The sequence below is a fragment of the Homo sapiens genome, chromosome 1, assembly GCF_000001405.40.
Source record: "Homo sapiens chromosome 1, GRCh38.p14 Primary Assembly".
Taxonomy (NCBI): domain Eukaryota; kingdom Metazoa; phylum Chordata; class Mammalia; order Primates; family Hominidae; genus Homo; species Homo sapiens.
In genome coordinates, this window is record NC_000001.11 from 30,412,052 (window position 1) to 30,430,326 (window position 18,275).

Here is an 18,275-nt window from a genome sequence, read left to right on the forward strand (position 1 = left end):
TCTGTCAGCCCTGCCTTGGCCCCGTGTGGTAATCAGGTAAACTCCCACCTGTGCCCTCTCACCTGGACGGTGGAGGAGTCTGAGGGAGGCCTCAATTCTGAATGCTCCCTGAATTCCCCATCTGCTTGAGCCCAGACCCTACTCTGGTCAACTCTGTCCCTTAGTAAAGTAACCAACCATTTCCAGTTGGCAGGGACCGAGTGCATTCTTGGTATGAGGCACTTCCAGCGCTGAAACCAGAGAAGTCCCAGGCCACGAGGATGACTTGGTCACCCTGTTCTTTGTGGCTCCTTACATTACTACCAGTGAGCCAAGACCTGTGAGGAGAGGCAGGCGAGGCCTCCATGCCCTGCCCTGAGGGACCAGCCGTGGTGCTGGTGTTCGCTGATGTGCACAGAAGAGCAGGGCTCCTTAGGGAGGCGTGGCTGGAGAAGGTGACAGAGCCTCACAGCTGGGTTCATGGGGTTCTGTCCTCTTTCTGCACTGTCTCATTTACTCCTCACAGTCAGTGTCAGGTGACAACACTGAGGCTCAGCTCGGAGGCATCACAGTGACTCATACCAGTCATCACAGTGCAGTGGCATTGTTTTGCTTTGAATGGAACTGTAGCTCTGTCTCCAAGCACCGCTTCTGCTTGTGCACCCCATCTCTGTCTCCCAGACCAGGGCACCTCCAGAGCTCAGCGGAACTGCAGGAGCCCATGCCACGTGCAGGAGTGGAGGCAGAAGCTGGCAGGGGCTGGGTGAGTGGGGCAAGGTCCTAGTCACTTCACTCAGACCTCTAGTGTCCAGCACAGACCTTGGCACAGACATGGGTGCCTTGCAGTGTGCCCTGGTGAAGGGGCCTAGGTGGGGAAGGGGAGGCCCCTCCTCCTTGGCCAGTCTCTCTAGGTCCCAGACTCCCTCACTGCCTCCAACCACACAGAGGCTTCAGCTCCCCACCTGGGCCTGCTTGGGGTTTGACAAGCACCAAAAGTTCCACTTCAAAATTCATAGAATCACAGCATCCAAGGCAGAGGGGCCTTTATCTTGGCTCTGACCGCGAGCCTGCTGTGGCAGGGCCCGGTTTGTGGGCGTGCATGTCTGCAGCCAGCCCTGTGTGCTACCCCAGGAGAATTTTATCTCAGCCCACCTCGCTTCTTCCCTTCTCCTGCCCTCAAAGGGGAACATTATCTTTGTGAGATGGCTCCAAAGTCGTGGGGACTGCGGAATCAGGAGAGGCGAGAGTGGAGAGGATCTGGAAAGATAAACTAATCTGTATAATGAAGAAGATTGGGGAGGGAGCAGGAGAAGCTGGCGAAGAGGGGAGGAGGCAGAGGAAAGAGCCAGCAAGCTCCTCATCAGGGAATAGTTTGCAGATGTGGCTTCGTGAAGGGCTCTGCAGCTTTCCCTTCTGAGAAGTGGGGACTTCAGGAAATGCTACAGGGGCTATAAGCCAGATATTAAGGGCTATAAACCCTTAATTTTCCTTGAAAGAGGGAAATAAAAGCAGAAATTCCTCTCCAGGTTATTTTTGGCTGCTGGACTGTTTCTTCCCATTGTCTACCATGTTGAGACGGAGCCTCCTGAGGCCCCAGTGGCAACCGGGTTGTCCTGTTCTGTGTGGCTTCAAAAGGGCTGGGGTAGGTTCACACATGACCGCATGCCAGAAATATCGTGGGCACCCAAGTAACACATAAGCAACGGTCCTCGGGGACGATCAGTTTCACACTGATTGAGCACCTTAGTGAGGGTCAGGCAACCGTCGGGTCAGTGGGCATCACCACCCTCATCCCACAGATGAGGAGACAGACTCAGAGATGGGAGGAGACTGGCCCCAGGCCACGCAGCCAGGCAGTGTGAGGCCAGGTGCAAACCCTGTCCGCCTGGCTTCACCTCCACACTCTTTCCACTCCTGCAGAGACCCCCTCACTGCCTCCAACCACATAGAGCCTTCAGCTCCCTACACGGGCCTGCTTGGGGTTTGACAAGCACTATGCGTTCCACTTCAAAATTCATAGAATCACAGCTTCCAAGGCAGAGGGGCCTTTATCTTGGCTCTGACCGCGAGCCTGCTGTGGCAGGGCCCGGTTTGTGGGCGTGCATGTCTGCAGCCAGCCCTGTGTGCTACCCCAGGAGAATTTTATCTCTGTCCTCTGTGTGGTTGGAGCATAGGAGGCAGAGGCGACATGTGGCTGCGGGACCTGGGCAGGGGTCAGGGAAAGGTCTGTTGTGAGCAGGACTTTCCATATACGTGGTGTTTCAACAGACAGCAGTGTGGGGACATGGGTTGTAGGTCGTCCTACGGGCATTCCAGATGGAGGGAAGGGCATTCCAAATGGAGGAGGCAGCAGGAAGAACAGCCAGGAAGTGGGGCCCAGGACACCTTTGGGAAGCAGAGAGGAGTGGCCTTTGGTAGGATCATCAAGGGAAGATGTGGCTGGAAGTGCAGGGAGTGACTCCATCAGAAAGCAGGAAGCCTCTCCAAGGGCGTGGCTTTGCACAGCTCCCCAAGTCAACAGGAGTCCAGTTATGGAACTCATTTGCATATTAAGACTCAGGTCGGTTTTGTGTCCCCCACCTCAGCCCTGCAAGCCCAAGTTCAATAGCTGTTGGCTCCTATCTTGTTCAGGCCCCGTTCTGTCTTCTAAGCTCCGCATCTGCCTGTCCAGGGACCTCAGCCCAAATCTCCCACCTCATAGCCTGGAGCCAACCCTGCAGCCTCCACAGAGACTCTACAGGCTGGGACCTGGGAGGCCACACATCCAGTCATGAACGGCTGGGTCTGCTCTAGGTCTTGTGATGGCCAATATTGTGGGAGAAGGGCTGATGAGGCTGGGGGTATGGAGTGTCTTAGAGAGAGTCAAGACTCAGGGAGGGTCATGGGCCTGCCCCAGTCATACAGGAGTCAGTGATGGAGTCTCTGGGCTGGAAGCCCGCTGCCCTGGACCCCTGGCCGACCTCTCTGACCTCAGGTCTTTCTCTGCATCCTGAGCCAGCTCGACTTACATCAAGATGATCCCTTTTCCTTCTTCTCCAGCAATTCCTCATTCACCTTCCACCTCAGTGGCTAAGATCATTTCTCAAAGTCCAGCCAAAGGAGCAATAATTACTGGATATGACTTAAGTAATGAAACAATCGCTGCTGAGCCATCTGGGTACTGGAGAGCTGGGAGCAGCAGGCATGGCTGCAGACATGTGTGTCCACCTTGCTGCCTTGCCCCGGATGAGAGCTCAGAGGGGCTGGCTTGGGGCTCTGGGCCCAGGCAGCCCTACCATGACTCTGCTCTTCCCCAGCTGAGTGAGCTTGGGCCTCTCTTCACCTCTGAGAGCCTCTGCGGAGTAAAGTGGAGCCCACTGTGCACCCCACAGGGGCAGTAGTGAGGCCTGAAGAGACCATGCAGCTCCAGCTCCCCGTGAGAACCAGCATCCTCCCGGGGGCTCTGGGTTACCCTGGGCTGCAGTTAGCCAGGTGCTGGTGTGTGGTCATGAGGCTGCCTCAGCAGACAAGGCTGGAGTCCCCTCAATAACACCTAAGACCCTTCGCCAAGGGTGATGTCATCTGATTTGTAATTACGAAAGACTCCCTGTAAGCTCAACCTTTCCCAACAGCCAGCCCTGACCAAGGGGATCAGGGTGGAATCAGGGCTGGAGGAGGCTCAGCCTCTACTGGATGAGGTGGGGGTTGGGCCTGGATTCAAAACTGCAGCTCTGAGGTCAGAAGCATGGAGTGTTAGGGTCCCAGCTCCCTCCTTCCTTGCTGGCTGGCCTTGGGTGAGCTCCTGGACCTCCCAGCCTCAGCTCCCTCCTCAGGGAGACTTTCTGCTTCACAGAGCTTGGTCAGGTGACGTATCCTCCCTGGAACTCAGTTGCCTCATCTCTAAAATGGGCTTTGCACCTTCCTGCCCTGTGGGGTGGGAGGACTGGATGAGATGGTGTGGGTGAGGGGTTGTGCCATGCCTGACACCCTCTATTTGATCCTCACTCAGTGGTATCTGTGGTGACAGGATCTGGGACTTCCCTCAGCCTAGCAGAGGGTTCAGAGTGAGCGAGGCCACGCTTATGTTTATTGGGGTGAAAGCTGCATTAATAAGCTGGCAAAAAGGGAAAGCATTGGGGAGAGTTGGCAAGGACAGTGCCTGGGCAGGAATCACTCTCTCCTCTTGGGGAGCAGCTCCTCTGAGCCCCCTACACTTGAGTTTTCTGTCTCCCATTTGGCCCTTGGCTCTCAGTGGGATCTGCTGTCATTTCTGTAGATATAACAATAACAATAATTGCAATAGCCTCAATCCTTGAATCCTTCCTCTCAGCCGAGCTTTGCCCCACAGAGTGCCCCAAAGGAGGCAACAGAAGGACCTGTGGGCAGAAAGTCCAGTCCCACCTCTGCCTCCTACTCCAGCCTTGGGCTGATCCTTCCCTGCCCTGGGCCTCAGTTTCCCACATGCCAAATATGGGTGTTGAATTTGACACTTGGAGGCACTTTGAGCTGTTAAATTCTACCGGATGTTCAAAGACTGTGGGGAAGATGGGGAGCAGGAGGGGACAGGGGCCACACTCGAGCCTCGGTTCACAGTGGTTGAGTGGTCACAGTATGCCAGGCACTGTCCTGAGTGCTCCATGTGGATCAACCTAGTGGGTCCCCACATCATCAACTGGAGGAGGGGGGCACGATTATTATTCCCATTTTATAATTGAGGAAACTGAGGCACAGAGCAGTTTGTCATGGCCAGAGCGCTGCTCTGGGAGACAGGGACAGATCCAGACCCCTTGACTTCCTGGGTCACCTGAGGGAAGGAGCTTCCCTTCTTATCTTCCAGGAAGGAGGTAGCAGAACAGGAACCAAAGTGAGTGCAAAGTCTGCTGGGGGCCAGGAGCTGCCAGGAGCCCCCGTATGTGAGGTTGCATCCTCAGGACCTCTCCTGGAGTAGGTATTGTTCTCTCCATTTTACAGACAAGGAAACTGCTACCTAGAAAGGTTTAGACTTAACTAACATCACACCGCAAGTGTGTGGCAGGGCCAGATTCAAACACAGGCTCTGAATCTTTCCACCCCTCACAGGCTACTTCAGGGCCGGGCACCCCCGCGTAGTTGGGGCAGAGATTGGAGGATAGATCTGGCCGGTGGCTATGGGTTCTTAGGCCCACAGGCAAATAAGAGGCTCCAGAAAGCTGGGTATTGGGGGTGGCCTCAGGAGCCCTGTGACTGTGGTCAGGAAAGGAGAACCCAGGACTGGGCAGCAAGAAGATAAGGCAGACACGAGGTTCTGGAGAGTCGGCTCACGGCTGGGGAGGATGTAGGGGCCTGGCCAGAGTGGGCTCAGGAGTAGGGGCTGAATCCTGTGAGGTGGGTCAACAGAATGAGGAAGGTCCCCATACCTGGAGGAGGTGAGGTCAGGGGCCCACAGGCAGAAACAGCTAAGTCCAGGCTCCTGACCATCCTCCAGCTTCCACGTGGACCTGCCCTCCCCAGTCATGGGCCTCCCAGAGGCCTGAGGAAACCTGTAAACAGGTAAAGCACATCCCATTCCTCTCAGCTCCCAGCCCTCCCCAGCTTCCGGTCTTACTCAAAGGAAAATCCAAATCTGCTGGCATGGCCCACAAGCCCCTCCCATGTCTGTCCCCTCTGACCTTGTCCCCCTTCCTCTTCGCTACTCACCAACCTACAGCCATACTGACTTCCTGCTGTTCCTCAAGCAAGTGAAGCCCGCTATAGCCTCAGGGCCTTTGCACATGCTCTTCCCTCTGGTGGCTGGTTTGCACCTGGCTGATGTCTGTGCCTCTGCACGGGCTGTGAGCTGAGGGCACTGGGAGCCTGGGAAGGGTTTCCAGCTGGGAGGGAACCAGCCAGCTTTGTGCTGCTGAGGGGCATTCTGGGGTGGACCGGAGGGTGGGCTGGAGGGGATGAGCTTGAGGGCAGAGAGAGTGCTCAGTGTGCAGAGCTGGGGCATGAGGTGGGCTCAGCTGAAGGGCCAGGGAGGTCACAAATGGTCAGGATGGGCCCCAGGTCAGGTGGGGAGAAGCAGCCAGGCCAGTGGTTTTGATGTGGAAATGTCTGAACTGCAGAACAAGCCTCCTTTCAACTCCCAATTAACATGGGAGCCTCCCCAGCCAGGCAGAGCTGGGTTGGCAGGTGGGGCCCAGAGGCTGTGGGGTCAGGGAGTGGGGATGGAGGGAGAGCCAGCCAAGACATTACCATGGGCATGTGAGAAAGGAACGTTCTGTCAACTGGAACCAGCGCAGGGAAATCCAACAGGGCTAAGAATTTTCCTCCCACCAGCAAGCTGAAGGGGAAACGCATTTGTTTCCGCCGCACATTAGTGTTTTTCAGGAGATAATGTGACTGTTTTTGCGCTAGAAAGTCATGAATGGAAAATTCCACCTGCCAAGACAGCCAGTTCCTCCCCCAGGCACTAAAGAATGGAGAAAGCTTCTGTCTCTAGCTTACTGGTGCCTGGAGTTCCACCACTGGAGCTCCGGTCCTATGGCTTGGGGCCTTGTCATTTGTTAAAATGCAAACAACTTCACTGAAGTCATGTTTCAACACAAACATTTTCATTAATTCAACAAATATTTATTGAGCTCTTGCTCTAAACCAGGCAGTACCTGGAGGCTGAGAACAGAGAAATTAATTAAGACTTGTCCAGACGAAGCCTTCAAGGAACTGGCAAACTCTGTGTGTTTTGCGGGTGGAGGGGGTGCAATAAGAAAACCTGACCATATGGTGCTGCAAAATGGTGGTGGGAATAAGGTGCCAGGGGGACCCCCAGAAGAAGCAACTCATTTCACATTTGCAGAAGGCGAGGCTTCAGCTGGGATCTGGAGGATGAGGGGTGGGGAGCAGGGTGGGGATGAGAATCCCAGATGAAGGGCACAATAAGAATGAATGAACAGAGTCATGAAGCAGCATAGGGGTGCATGGCCTGGGCCAGAGCCTGAAGCCCTGGGCCAAATGAAGCCTGGGCAGACCTACCTCTGCAGGCCTAGGCCAGCTGAGCCAGTTAATTCCTACCTTTCTTTAAGCCAATCTGTTGTCAGCTTTCACCTGAAAGTTCCTAACGGGTACAGGGCGTTTCTAGAGGGCAGAGTTTGATAGAGCTGGAAAAGGAGCAGTGAGTAGGTGCCTGGCACCTCCATGTGCAGGGGTTGGTCAAGTCCTTTTCCTTTTGATTCTGTCTCCACCTACACTTCTTATCAGGAGAAAAGATCTCGCCCTAGAAAATGTCCCCTGATCCGTGATGTTGGCCTGGCACCTTGGATAGTAAGTCCCGATTGGGCAGCCTGGGTGTCAGGAGCCCTGGGTTCTGTCCCAACCCCACCCACTGCCTGGCTGTGGGGCCTGGGCTGCGTTACACCCATTCTCTGAGCCTAGATTTGGGATTCATCCATCAGCCCATAGAGCTCTCTGAAGGAAGAGGCAATCTCCAACCCATTCATGTGGCCTCCAAACCTGGGACAGTCCCGCCACAGAGCAGGTGTGAATGGAGCTGTTGACCAATCCATGGGGGAGCTGCACCTTCCTGCTCTAACCTTCTAGGATCAGGGCCATGTGTGATATGACAGGGACAACTGCAGTTCCCTCTGTCCACCCTGAGAGCCTCCTGGAGGCCTCAACCCCAGGTTGCAGCAGCAGGAAATCTTGCAAGATGAAATTTCCTATGCAGGCTGCACTGCAGAGGCCTCAGTTTACACACACTGTCTATCTCTGTTGAAGGCTCGCTGAGCCACAATCAGACTGTAGGGTGAGAAAAAGTCCCCCCAAAAGCTTAACGCTTTACTCTCCAGCTGCAGCAGACCTGGGCAGCCAACGTCAGGGACTCTCCTCAGTTTTCTCATTGCTGACAATGATGAGGGGGCCACGCACGGGGAAAAGACTCAAAGAATAAAATAAACCCATGGGGTTCAGCCCAGTCGATTCCTTAAAACCAGTAAGCCAGTGCCCTGCCCTGCAGTGTAGTGTGGGCTGCACGTCTCAGTGCTCAGAGGGTAGGGACATGTGTCTGTATTCACAGGCAGGAGCAGGGAAGGCAGAGGTGGGAGCACCCACCTTCTCCTCTAGGGAGAACACTGGAGTGAGTGAGGGGCCAGAGGTCTGGGCTGGTGATCCCAGGTCCATGCTTGATTCTTCTAGAACTCAGATGTCTTTCTTGGAGGCAGGTAGCATGCAGAAGTCAAGAGCCTGGAGCAGAGTACAGTAGCCTTGGGAGGGTTTAAGGTTAGGAAGAGAGATTCTATCACTCATCCCTTCATTTATTCCCTCCCTAGGTTCACAAGCCAGGGGGCTTACAGATGTTCTTGGGGAAGGTTGACAATAAACAGGGAATTACACAAAATATTTTATGGCCCATTTGTAATAAGGGCCATGAAGGGAAGCCAATTTCCGATGATTAAAAGATGTTAGACAGAAAGAGAGAGAGTAACTGACCCTTACTTTACATACATCTGAACCCTTGAAACAAGTCAGCAAGGCAGGTGCTATCAGAGGAAGCTGAGGCTCAGAGAAGGTCGGCAACTGGCCCAAAGCCACGCAGCTTACAAGTAGTGGTGTTGAGATCCTGGACAAGCTAGGTCTGTCTCCAGAGTCAGTGCTCCTGGAACCATGCAGGAGTTCCTCCCAAGGAGAAGGCAAGGCAAGGCTACCGTGGAGCACTCAGCACCACTTCCCAACAGGATCAGACCTGGGGAAACTGACCAGCTTGGTCCGGGAGTGTTATTCTGCCCAAGGACCAGTCTGGAGCTGGATTTAGTTTCTAGAAGAATCTTTCTAGCTCAGCAGCCCCGCAGCTTCAGAAGATGGGCATGTCAGGGCAAGCTCTGCTTTCTGCCTCTTCGAGGAGTCTTGCTGCCACTCAGAGACCTGCTCACAGAGGCAGGAAAGTCAAGGATCTGCTTCCCCAAAGAACAGGCTGAGCCTCACACGGCCAAATCCCAGAATGGCTTTCAAGGAAGAGAACCCAGGTGTGTTTGTGTCCTGCCTCCATCTCTTACTGGCTGTGTGATCTCAGGCAAATGACTCTGTGAGCCTCTATTTTTCATGTGTGAAATAGATTTATTCGTAATAACATACGAAGCCTATACTCAACACATGTGGATTTCCTTTCTCTTCTACTGTCAGCTAGATCCCACAGAGCATGGTTTTCCCATCTCTGCCCCTCCATTGTGACCTCCTGGAAGTCCCCACCCATGCCTAGTCAAAGCAATGAGCTGAATCCAGACTGAAATGAAGCTAATTGGAGAGTGGTGAGGGTTTCTGTGGCGATGAGCATTTAACTGGTTGTCCTGGGAGTCCTCATGATACTTTAAGAGAGATGATAGGCTCACTCTCAGTGTGGACCAGAGGATTCAAATGACCTCCTTGGTGTGGGACTCACCACAGGAGGTTTATTTTATTCTTTGAGCCTACAGCAGAGGTGAGGAGACAGGACAAGGGCCAGACGAGAAAGGGATCAAACTGGGGTGATGGTTGACGCTTGTGTTCAGAGAGTCAGAGGAGACAGGCCTTCCATTCCAGCTCAATGCCTACCTTAAAGATGGGGACACTGAGGCTCACTAGGGGAAAGGGACCTTACCCCAATCAACTCCCTGTCAGGGCAGAACTGACACCAGAGGCTGGGTTTCCTTCCTGACCACCGCACCCTCCTAGGGGTGGACCGGCACCCTAGCTGATGATAATAAGCTGCCATTTCTGAGTGCTTTCTAGGTGCCCAGCCTTGCACTGAGCATTTTGTGAGCATTTGCTCATGTGCCTCTAATAAGCCCACGGGAAGATTGTATTATTATCATCAGGTGAAACTGGAGACAATTGGATGTTTGTGAGTGACAGGTAGATAATGAGTCATTGGCATAGAAGTAGGGGCTGGAGACAAAGCTTACAGTCCCACCATGTGTCTTAATGGTCAGGGTGCCAGGAGCTCAGGTACTTTACAGGTCTCATCTCATCAATATTCACACCAGTCTCCAAAGGGGGACATTGTTCTCTCTGTTTTGCAGTTGAGGAAACTGAGGCTCAAGGCATTTAGGCATGAGTAGCTAAGGTTACACCACACTAATAACCATACCCAAGACTGCTTGGGTGTTTACCTGTGGCCAGGCTCTCTTCCAAGTGTGATTTGTGTGTGTTAACTCACACCTCACAAACCTCCTAATGAAGGAGGGACAACAGTGATTCCCACGTTATAGAGGAGGGAACACAAGCACGGAGAGGTTAATCGACTTGTCAAGGTCACAGAGCTTGTCTTGGCAGAGCCAAGAATCGACCCCAGGCCATCTGATGTCAGGGCCCATGCTCTAACCCCCAGGTTGCAGCTGCCTCACAAGCTGATAAATGACAGAGCAGGATCCAAGCCCCAGGCAGCCTGGTTCCAGAGCTCATGCCCTCTCCAGTACCCAAGGCCAGGGACTGAGGAGAGAGGCTCAGGCCAGGGCACCACCTAGGGCTTCATGGGCTGTGGTTGTCATATTCTTCAAGCTCCACTCAGACCTCAGAGGAGGATCTGCAGCCGAGGAGGCCCAAAGGGGAGGCCTGCACCCAGAACTGGTCCTGCAGTGCCCTCAGGGCAGGGATCATGCCTGCATCTGCAGAGAGTGTGAGCTTACACAGACATGTGGGCTGCAGTCAGCAAGACCAGAATCCTCCTAGTGCCTTGTTAAAATACAGATTCAGGCCGGGTGCAGGGGCTCACACCTGTAATTCCAGCACTTTGGGAGGCCGAGGTGGGTGGATCATGAGGTCAGGAGTTCAAGACCAGCCTGGCCAAGATGGTGAAACCCCATCTCTACTAAAACTACAAAAATTAGCCGGGCATAGTGGCAGACACCTGTAATTCCAGCTACTCGGGAGACTGAGGCAGGAGAATAGCTTGAACCTGGGTGGCAGAGGTTGCAGTGAGCCGAGATCATGCCACTGCACTCCAGCCTGGGCAACAGAGCAAGTGAGACTCCGTCTCAACAACAACAACAACAACAACAAAATACAGATTCCCCAGACTCATACCAGAGCGAGGAATCAGATTCTCCTGAGGTAGGGATCAGGAATTTGCATTTGGAAAGCCCTGCAGGTAATTCTGAAGAAAGAATCAGACTCCAGCTCATATGGTTTGGCTGTGTCCCCACCCAAATCTCATCTTGAATTATACATCCCATAATTCCCTCATGTCATGGAAGGGACTGGGTGGGAGATCATTGAATCATGAGGTCAGTTTCCCCCATACTGTTCTCGTGGTAGTGAGGAAGTCTCACGAGAGATGATGGTTTTATAAGGGGTTTCCCCTTTCTCTTGGCTCTCACTCTTCTCTTGTCTGCCACCATGTGAGACATGCCTTTCATCTTCTGCCATGATTGTGAGGTCTCATGTGGAACTGTGAGACCAGTAAACCTCTTTTTCCTTGTAAATTACCCAGCCTTAGGTATGTCTTTATCAGCAGCGTGAAAATGCACTAATACACAAGCTGTCATCTGGGAAGCAGTATCCAAAGTCCGACTTGGACAGTCTGAGGTGTCAGACACTAAAGGTAATGGAAACCATGACCATAACAACATAGTTCCCGTGTCCAGAATTTGGCCTGTCCTCCCATGTCCCTTCTCTTCTCAGTCCTCACAGTGACCCTTAAATGAAGGGACTCTTACAATCCCATTTTATAGATGAAGAAACTGAGACTCAGGGTCACCCAGCTGGGGAGTGCGGCCACTGGGATTCATACTAAGCCTGGCCCAGGTTTCTCTCTCCGTCCCTCTCTGCAGGAGGCCCAGAAGGCAGAGGATGAGGAAGGCAGTGGGGCTGGGTGGGGGGACTCCTGCAGGGGCTTCCACCCAGATAATTGCCTCTGCCAAAACTCAGGAAACAGCCTCTGCCTCAGCTTTTCTGTTCATTCCCAAGTGGTATTTTAAGTTTCAGAAAGACCTAATAGCCTAGAAGAAGATTTGTACATGAAGAAGCATCTTTTCCTCAAGGTTATTGTAAGCACAGTTGAGGGAGCAGGAGAGATTTATGAGAAATTCTGCTGGGTCTGAAATAAACACAAACAGCTCGGGCTAAAAAAAAGGCACACTCACAGGAGATGCTGGCCAGATATCCTCTGGGCACAGGACCTTGGAAGGTGCCCAGGCCTCCCCTCTCCATCCAGCAGGGACCTAGACCCCCTCCAATTACACACCTCGAGCAGTGAAATCATCATTACCCAATGGGCAGTTCACTCCATTAGTCCAAACTAATAAAGAGAAGGTGCTGATCCTCTGATAATTTCTCTTCATCAAGGAAATGGGGTGGGGCAAGGAACAAGCCACAGAATTTGGAACCATCCATCCCAGCACCCCATGAATTGTGTGACAAGTGACTTGAAGCAAGGTACCTTGCTGGGCCTCAGGTTCACTTCTTTGTAAAGTAAACAAGGACCGGGCGCGGTGGCTCATGCCTGTAATCCCAGCACTTTGGGAGGCCGAGGCAGGCAGATCACGAGGTCAGGAGTTTGAGACCAGCCTGGCCAACATGGTGAAACCCCGTCTCTACTAAAGATAAAAAAAATTAGCAGGGCATTGTGGCGGGCACCTGGAATCCCAGCTACTCGGGAGGCTGAGGCAGGAGAATCGCTTGAAACCGGAAGGCAGATGTTGCAGTGAGCCGGGATCGCACCATTGCCCTCCAGCCTGGGTGACAGGGAGAGACTCTGTCTCAAAAAAAATAAATAAGGTAAGTAAACAAGGATTGGTGAGAAGATGAAGGGAGGCAGCACATATAAAGGGTGCAGGATGGTGTCTGGCACATAGTAGGTGCTCAATTAATGTTAGTCCCTTTCCACCAGCCTGAGGGGACTGTGTAGATATTTATGCCCTGTCCGTGGAATGGTGACTGATGTAGGGTTGATTGACCAGGGGTGTATAATGTGTATGTGAGCTCATGTGAGCGTGCATGAGTGTGTATGTGTGTGAGTGTATATAAATGTGTGTGTGTGAGAGAGATAGTGTGTGTAGGGGGTGGAAAGGTATAATACAGCTATACCCCTATAACAAAAGACAGGTTAACAAGAGAAAAGCATAGCATATTTATTTAATCAAAGTTTTACATAACATAGGAGCCTTTGGAAATGAAGACCCCACCACCCAGGGGAAATGGTCTATTTTTATGCCTAGGATAGTTGAAGACGGGCAGTTGTGTAGAAACATGATTGAACAAAAGGATGTGATGCAATGGGAATAGACTGAGTGGGGGAAACCCAGCAAGTCCTGTCTGTTCAGATTCCTCTCGGGGCCGGGTGTGGTGGCTCAGGCCTATAATCCCAACACTTTGGGAAGCCAAGGATCACCTGAGGTCAGGAGTTCGAGACCAGCCTGGTCAACATGGTGAAACCCCTGTATCTACTAAAAAAAAAAAAAAAAAATTAGCCAGGCCTATAATCTCAGCTACTCAGGAGGCTGAGGTAGGAGAATTGCTTGAACCCAGGAGGTGGAGGTTTCAGTGAGCCGAGATTGTGCCACTGCACTCCAGCCTGGGAGACAGAGCAAAACTGCATCTCAAAAAGAGAGAGAGAGAGAGAGAGGGATTCCTCTCAGCTTCTCTGTGTAGGTTGGCTTCCCCTATACCCTGGGTATGAGCAGGGCCCCTCTGGAAGGAAGGTCTTCAAGAGAGAAGACCTATGTTTTATGTCTTGCTTTGTGGGAGAGGAGTTCTAGGTTTTATGACCCACCTTGGGGAAGAAGAATTCTGGTTCCTATGACTCAGACTCACTCTGCAGGAGAAAGAAGGGCAGGAGACAGGCAGATAGGAGAAGGTCAGAAAGAATCTGCTTTCAAGACCTTCTGATCTCCTTTAATTCAAAGTACCTAGCATGCCAAAGCACCATACTTTGGAGTGTCATGTTCTGAGCCCCAGAGTGTACTGTGTGTGGGGTGGGTGTGTGCATGACTGTTTATGTTGTGTATGCATAAGCTGTATTTGAGATCTGAGGATGAGGCTTGGAGCAAAGAGATGAAGTGGTGGATGGTGATATGGGGAAGTTAGTCAGAGGTCTGCTCAGAGAAGACTGGGTGCTGTGCAATCCCTGGGGAAATCTTTTTCATGACTGTTTTAGTAAGTAATAAAGGGCATTTTTTCCTGAACTTATAGTAAAGTTAACATCCAAGAAGGTGTCCCCATCTGACACTTTAATTCCTTGTCTCCTTGGGGAATACACAGCAGCGAGCCATGGAGCAGGCACGGAGCATCTTCCCAGAGTGTCATCTTTCTCCAAGATCAGAGAAATGCCCATTACTTAATATTTAAAACACCATGGATAAATCATAGAGAGGAAAATGTGCATAGATTTGAAGTACTAAATTAGAAAGCTCCAAGAAGAAGTGTGCCAGTGGCTGGTTGCTTCAGCTCCTGCCTCTAGGCACCCTGGGGATATAGAAGCCCTACCTTGATATAAGGGGTGCATAGTGGATGCCTTTTGGAATCCTTGAATTTCAGGAAATGAGTGTCAGAGAAGGACACAGAGCAGGGCCACCACTTGCTCTTATTGGGGTTTTAGAAAACTGTCTCTGCAGAGCAGCTAGAGGTGGGGGAGCATAGAGGCCTGTGAGGAACGTTTGAAATAATACAGGTGAGGGGTGAGCGGAGGCTTGGAGCAGGACAGGGCAAAGGGAAAAGAGAAGAGGAAACTGGAAAGATATGTGGGAAAATTGCTCTTCGACTCTGGACTTGGGAGTGGAAAAATGTAGGACATGGGGAGGGAAGAATCCAGTCTGACTGGGGATTTAACCCTGGGTTCTCACTTGAGTGGTCTCAGAATCACAGGAAGAGAGGCAAGTGTCCATTCTGCAGGTAGGGGTAACAAAAGGGTGGAAGGCCCCAATTGTTGTAAGCCACCAATCCTTTATTCAACTAGGACAACTACATTGTTCAAATAGAAAGGGAAACACTATCCAATTCATTCTGTGGGGCCAGTATTTTTCTAATACAAAAACTAGAAAAAGAGCTAATATGTAAATAAAACTGTAGAATAATATTCTTTACAAATATAAATGCAAAAATCCTCACCAAAACACTAATAAGCTGAATGTGAATAAGATTACACACCATAAGCAAGTAGGATTTATCCAGAATGCAAATTCGGCTTAATATATGAAAAGCAGGGTGATGTCACCAAAATGGCAGAGTAGAAGCAATCTGGCTTCATTCTCCTCCACAGAAAACCAAATATATATATATATCCAGTGCAAAGATTGCAACCAGCAATGTCCCAAAACTCAAATATGAGACTGAGACAATCCCTGGGACCACAGAAAGATTAAAAATTCTGAGCAGATGGTAAAAGAAATGGACTTCTGTATCCACAACACCTCTCCCTCAATCTGCCAGGCATCGTGTATGGAAAATTCCTCCTGTACTCACAGTTTTTACACTGGAAAAAGTGAGATCAAGATAAACAGCCAGCTTTCCTGCCATCTTGGCTTCCCTTTCAGAAAAGCCATTCTTGCCACAACCCATGGGAAGCATCACAAGTGCCTGTAGGGAGAAAAACCACTGGGGGCAGCCAGAAACAAAGGCAGGAGGCAAAACCAGCAACCCCACCTGAAAAACTCTGCTCTTTATCTCAGCCAAAGGAAAAGTCAAATCATAGTGGCTGTTCAGCAGCACCACATTGTAGGAGACAGGCTTCATGGGTCTTCTGGGCATGAACCAGCTTTCCCATCTAGCTGGGGCATCCCCTTTTGGATCATCCTTCCCAAACAACTGGATATCCCCTCTGGGACACCCTTCCCCCAATTTAGGATAGGTTGCGCTCTGAATATTTGCAAGAGCTGAGGCAATTCTGAGTGTAAGGCACCATCTAGTGCCAAAAAGGAGGAAGAGATAAAAGATTAAGGGACGTTGGGAGGCAATTGCAGAGAACATCTAAGCAAACATACTCTATACCCCACAAAGACAAAAACAAACCAAACAGCAAAGACTGGAATAAATAACTAATCCTTCAATGCAGTCATAGGTGTAGTCCACAAGAAACAACACAGCAAACAGGTCATAGTTATGACCTCCCCAAGTGGACAAAGCAAGGAGCCAGTAACCAACCCTAACAAGATAGTAATGTGTGAGGTCTCAGATGGAGAATTCAAAATACAGTTCTAAGGAAACTCAGTGAACTTCAAGATAACACAGAAAAGTAGTTGAGGAATTTTATCAGAGAAATTTAACAAAGAGATTGAAATAATATATATATATAAAAACAGAAATCCTAGAACTGAGAAATACACTTGCTGACCTGAAAAATTCATTAAAGGCTCTCAACAGCAGAATTGATCAAGCAGAAGAAAGAATCAGTGAGCTCAAAGACAGGTTATTTGAAAATACAGTGTAAGAAGAGGAAAAAGAAAAATAAATTTAAATAGAACTAAGGAAGCCTACAAAATAGAGAAAATAACCTCAAAAGAGCAAATTTAAGAGTAATTAGCACGGAAGAGGGAGTTGAAGAAGAGCAACAGGTAGAAAACTTATTCAAAGAAATAATTTTAAAAACTTTCCAAACCTAGAGAAAGATATAAATATCCAGGTATATGGAGGTCAGAGATTACCAAATTGATTTAATCCAAATAAGACCACCCCCAAGGCATATAACAATCAAACTCTCAAAGGTCACGGACAAAGAGAGGATTCTAAAAGCAGCAAGGTAAAAGAATCAAATAACGTAAAGGAGAGGAGCTCCGTTGTGTCTGGCAACAGACTTTTCGGCAGAAACCATACAGGTCAGAAAGGAGTGGTATGATATATTTAAGGCACTGAAGGAAAAAAAACCTGTCAACTGAAAATGTTGTGCCCAGCAAAGCTTTCCCTTATACATGAAAGAGAAATAAAGTATTTTTCAGATAAACAAAAGTTGAGGGAATTCATTACCACTAGACTCATCTTACAAGAATTCTAAAGCGAGTTCTTCAAACTGAAAGAAAAAGACACTAATGAGCAAGAAGAAAATATTTGAAGGTATAAAATTCACTGGGAAAAGTAAATACACAGACAAATTCAGAATAATCTAATACTGTAGTTGTGGTGTATAATTTCCTCACATCTCTAGTATAAAGACTAAAAGACAAATTTATCAAAAGTAATTACAACTATGGCAACTTAAGAGGCAATATGAAAAGATGTAAATTGAAACAAGAAAAAGCCAAAATGTGGGGAGATACAGTTAACATGTAGAGTTTTTTAGTTTTTCCTTTGTTTCTTTTCTTCTCTTTGTGATCAAAGCTAAGTTATCTTCTGTTTAAAGTAACTTGTTTTATTTATAAGATTTTTTTGTAAGCCCCATGGTAACCACAAAAGCATAAACCTATAATAGATACACTAAAAATAAAAAGCAATGAATTAAAACATACAACCAGGAACAAAAATCACCTAACCACAAAGGAAGACAGGAGTTATTATACAAAACAACCAAAAAACAAGTAACAAAAGGGCAATAGCAAGTCCTTACCTATCAATAATAACAATCAATGCAAATAGACTAAAATCTTCAATTAAAAGACATAGAACAGCTGAACGAATAAAAAAAATAAGACCCAACCATATGTTGCCTACAAAAAACTCACTTCACCTGTAAAGACACATGTAGACTGAAAGTAAAGGGATGGAAAAGATATTCTTTGCAACAGAAACCAAGAAAGACTAGATATAGCTACACTTACATCAGATGAAACAGACTTCAAGTCAATGGCTATAAAAAGACACAAAGTCACTATGAAATTATAAATACATCAATTTACAAAGAGGATATAACAATTGTAAATATAAATGTACCCAATCCCAAAGCACTTCAATATATAAAGTAAACATTAATAAATCTAAAGGGAGAGATAGACTTCAATATAATAATAGTAGAGGACTTCAACACCCCATTCTCAATAATGGACAGATCATCCAAACAGAAAATCAACAAAGAAACATCAGTTAAACTACACTCTAGACCAAATGGACCTAACTGACATTTACACAACATTTCATCTGACTGCTGTAGAATAGACAATCTTCTCATCAACATATGGCACATTTTCCAGGACAGACCATACATCAGACCACAAAACAAGTCTGAACATTCACAAAAGTAGAAATCATATCAAGTATCTTTTCTGACTATAGTGAAATAAACTAGAAATCAAGAACTAAAGAAATTTGGAAACTACACAAATACATGAAAATTAAACAACATGGTCCTGAATGATAAATGGGCCAATGAAGAAATAAAGAAGAAAATTTAAAAATTTTTGAAACAAATGAAAATGGAAACACAACATCTCAAAATCTATGGGATATAGCAAGAGCAGTACTAAGAGGGA

At 49.0% G+C, this 18,275-nt stretch overlaps 2 annotated features.

The window, feature by feature from the left end:
• Window positions 233-734: an enhancer, noted in NCBI's record as "H3K4me1 hESC enhancer chr1:30885131-30885632 (GRCh37/hg19 assembly coordinates)". NCBI's record gives its function as "activates a minimal SCP1, AML or CMV promoter by ChIP-STARR-seq in naive H9 embryonic stem cells {active_cell/tissue: H9 hESC(naive)}" and the evidence as "EXISTENCE:reporter gene assay evidence [ECO:0000049][PMID:30033119]".
• Window positions 735-1,234: an enhancer, noted in NCBI's record as "H3K4me1 hESC enhancer chr1:30885633-30886132 (GRCh37/hg19 assembly coordinates)". NCBI's record gives its function as "activates a minimal SCP1, AML or CMV promoter by ChIP-STARR-seq in naive H9 embryonic stem cells {active_cell/tissue: H9 hESC(naive)}" and the evidence as "EXISTENCE:reporter gene assay evidence [ECO:0000049][PMID:30033119]".